Genomic DNA, 4225 nt, shown 5'->3' with positions numbered 1-4225 from the left:
TATTAGTTTATTAATTGTAACAAATGTATTTAGAAACTTTCTGTACTTTCTGTTCAATTTTTCTGGAAACCTAAAACTGCTCTAAAAGATAAAAAGTCTATTAAAAAATTTCTTTTTCCTGAAACAGAGTCTTGCTCTGTCGCCCAGGCTGGAGTGCAGTGGCACAATCTCAGCTCAGTGCAACCTCCACCTCCTGGGTTCAAGAGATTCTCCTGTCTCAGCCTCCCGAGTAGCTGGGCATTACAGGCGCACACCACCACACCCAGCTAATTTTCCTATTTTTAGTAGAGACGGGTTTTACCATGTTGTCCAGGATGGTCTTGAACTCCTGACCTTGTGATCCGCCCGCCTCGGCCTCCCAAAGTGCTGGGATTACAGGCGTGAGCCACCGTGCCCGGCCTTAACATCTTTTTAAAAAGAAGGTCAAAGGCAAGTTGAAGAGGCAAACAGGAAAGAGAGGTCTGGGTCAGAACTGATGGTGGGAGTCCCATTATTTGCGCTATTATAGATATATTGGCATACCTCTTTTTCCACAGCAGAGTTTTTCACAAAAATCCCATATATAAGAGCATTTGCTCTCAATATTTTAAGAATACTGGCAAATCTCTGACATCACGGCATACAGGTCAGAACTGAATTTTAATAATCTGACTTCAAATCCAGAATCTGTTCCTCTATTGCAAGTTACTGATTCAATCACCACACATTACAAGGTAAATGCAGAAAAGGTGGAATGCTCTGGAAAAAGCAGTACAAACTTTATTCTAGAGGAGAAGCTCAAAAAATAGATATGGTGTTCAGAATCAACTATGTTTTACTTGTCCATGGCTCCTTTTTTCTTTAAAAAATATTCTTCAAAAAAATTCAAACTGCTGACAGTCAGACTCTTTGCTCCTTGAGGATAAAAACTTCAAGGAGAAATAACAGGGAAACGGAAGGTACTCTGGAATGTAACTTTTCTAGCTGTTAACTAGATCAGTATTTTGAATAAGCTCCAGTAGATGGCGGAAGAGAGTAGGAAGCAGCATCCTTGCGTGGTGCAGTTTGAAATGAAACAGCCGTATTTTCAACAGCTCTGAGTCTGTGTGATTTCTGGCAAGACATTTAGCAGAGGAGGAGAGCAGACAGTTTTACAGCCTCTGTCACTCTTCTTGGCAGAGCCAGAAGACCCTCTGGTCTATTGGACTTGAGGATTCCTTTCCTCTAGAAATATTTGATGGCAGCCAAGTGATTGCATATTCCAAGACCCTTGAAAAGGACTCTTCTGCGTCACTCAGAGGGTCTTGTGTGCCTGAGGGCCTTTCCAGATCTGTGACTGATGGCAGGCAGCTAGAATAAAATCTGTAGTGCTCTGCTGTTTTTGCCAGATGAAGCTACTAGAGCATTTTGATTTTTTTTAAAGGCTACCAAAACAAACAAACAAAAACTATGACTCACAGCTAGACAGTGAAACAATATTTTTATTCATAGCTCTAAGTGCAGCTTTTACAAATAGCACATCTTAGAGTTTATTTTGTTTCTTTTCAATTAACCACTTTCTGGAATTAGAACTTAAGGGAGAATTGTGTAATCAGAATTTAAGAAAATGTTCAAATGAATATATTATAAATTCAGGCTGGTTACCTATATAGTGATGGAATTACAATGAACTGGAAAGCTGTGCTCTCCCCAGATCCATCAAGTTATCAAGGATAACTCAGCAGCCTCCTTGAACTTTCTGACTACCTATCACTTTCTCTGGAAGCCAAGAACCATGGAACTATAAAAAATGTGTTTGTATGTGTATGTATACATATATATACACATATATGTGTATGCATATGCACACACATATATATACACATATATGTGTATGCATATATATACACATATATGTGTATGCATATATATACACATATATGTGTATGCATATATATACACATATATATACACACAGATATATAAATATATACATAAATATTTATACATACAGTGCACATATTCACATATATACATATTCATACATGTGATACTCATATTCAGTTTTCTACCTTTTGTATTACTTTCTTCATGACAGTTCTAGGGTAACCTCATCTGACTTTATGAGGTTTCAAGAAAGATAACTCTAACTTCTTATTTAGTAAGTTTGTAACATATTACACTATCTGCCAAGCCAGACTTTTTATTTAAGACAGCTTCTTATTCTCTTCTTCTTTTTACTATAGCTGCCATCTTATATGGTCAACTTCCGACTGGTAACATGGAGTTGTGGTTTCTGTATGTAAGTAGTAAATAAAGTTATCATTCTAATGTCAATCAATAATATGAGGAAAATAAATGCATGAATGGATAGATTAATTAGTATTTAGTGCCTATTACACCTGGAATGGGGGGATTTGAATATGAAAAGAAAAAAGAAACAAGGCCCCTTTCCTCTAGAGGCTCACAATCTCTAATAAGACAAACCTATATGACCCATGGTTTAAAATAGGACAATCGAATCATGGGAGCATAGAGGAAATGCTTATTTGTGCTTGAGGATATCGGGAAAGGTATTTCACAGGAGATGAAACTGGAGCAGAGTATTAAAGAATTAGAAGGAATTCATCGGGTGGGAAAAGGATTGAATGATATTAATGAGCATGAGAATGACACATACAAAATTTCCTTAATATCTGATTTATAAAAGACAAGTGATTTAGAATGGTTGGAGCGCTGGCTAAATGTGGCAGAAAGAGGGAACTATGTTTTAAAAACACAGAAGAGGCAAAACTATGAAAGGCTTTAATATAAATGCTTGAGAATATATGGCTTCATTCAGCATTGTTCAATAGAACTTTCTGAGAGGACTGAAATATTCTATAATCTGCACTGTGTGCTATGGTAGCCACTAACCACATGTGGTTATTGTACAGTTGAAATGTGGCTAGTAAGATGGAGGCAATTAATTATTTTTTGGCTTAGGTTAAATTTAGATTTAAATAGCCACATGTAACTAATAGCTACTGTATTGGGGAACCCTGTTTGAATAATGAGAATTATTGAAAGATTATCAACAGTGGAATGGAATGATTGTTTAATATCAGTGCAAAAATAACACAGTTTGTATTGATTCCATTGGAATGTATGGTGCATTTCACGTTGAAGATCTTTAAATATCACAACCTATTAACTTGGAGTTGTGTTCAGTTGTGTAAGCAAAGCAATTAATTGTAACTGGCCAAGACTTAGGATAAGAATAATTTTTCAGTCTACTCAGCACAAGCAGATATAGAATAAATAATCAAGTATATTTAGCTTAAGTCTCCAGCTTATACTAAAGAAGGTTAGGCACCAATATTTGCAGTTGAAAAAAGTTTTATTAGAGAGGAATAATTTCCTCCAAGTTAAGAAATTCCTGTAAAAGAGAAACTCTTTCCAGTAAGTATATAGATATGCCCAAATCATTTTGAGACCACTGGCTTATTGAATTCATAGTATTTGTGTCTGGGTGATGAAAGACAAAGACTGATTAGCACATAGACTCTGAAATCTCAGAGAAGTAAGCCTGTGGTAATATTCAAGGCTGGCTTGCTCTTCTCTTCTCTCAGTAGATTTCACTGGAGTTAAGACTCCCTTTCTTCTCTGTGACATGGCTAGCCGCTTATTTCAGTAGCAGGTATAGCTAGCAGCACATTACTTTGGGGAAGACAGGAAGTGCTTAAAAACAGCACTCTCAGCTGGGATCAAATGAGAAGGCACATAAAAAAGACTAATAAGCAGTTAAGAAAATTATCTTGAAATGAAGCATTGTGAAATCCATTTTGAATTATGTATTTTCTCCTATGTATGTTGTATTAAATTTCAATTATTGCATAACAAATTATTACAAATTTAGCTCCTTAAACAGTACTATTATCTTACAGTTTCTGTAAGTTGGAGGTTCAGGCACTGCGTAGCCTGAATATCAGTGCAAAAATAACACAGTTTGTATTGATTCCATTGGAATGTACGGTGCATTTCACATTGAAGGTCTTTAAATATCACAACCTATTAACTTGGAGTTAATTCACTATTCACTGTCTTGAATAAGACAGTGAGCTGAATTCTCTGCTCACTGTCTTATTAAGTCAAAATCAAGATGTCTGCCAACTTGCACTCTCTTTGGAGCTCAGATTCTCTTCTAAGCTTATTCAGATTGTTGGCAAATTTCAGTTCCTTGTGGTTGTAAGATTGAGGCTGTCAGCTCCTAGGGGGACCTAGAATT

At 36.2% G+C, this 4225-nt stretch overlaps 1 annotated feature.

The window, feature by feature from the left end:
* Window positions 691-1192: an enhancer, noted in NCBI's record as "NANOG hESC enhancer chr8:116088942-116089443 (GRCh37/hg19 assembly coordinates)". NCBI's record gives its function as "activates a minimal SCP1, AML or CMV promoter by ChIP-STARR-seq in naive H9 embryonic stem cells {active_cell/tissue: H9 hESC(naive)}" and the evidence as "EXISTENCE:reporter gene assay evidence [ECO:0000049][PMID:30033119]".

This window comes from Homo sapiens, chromosome 8 (assembly GCF_000001405.40).
Source record: "Homo sapiens chromosome 8, GRCh38.p14 Primary Assembly".
Classification (NCBI taxonomy): Eukaryota; Metazoa; Chordata; class Mammalia; order Primates; family Hominidae; genus Homo; species Homo sapiens.
The sequence above is the reverse complement of the archived record's forward strand: the minus strand, read 5'-3'. Positions and strand labels throughout refer to the sequence as shown.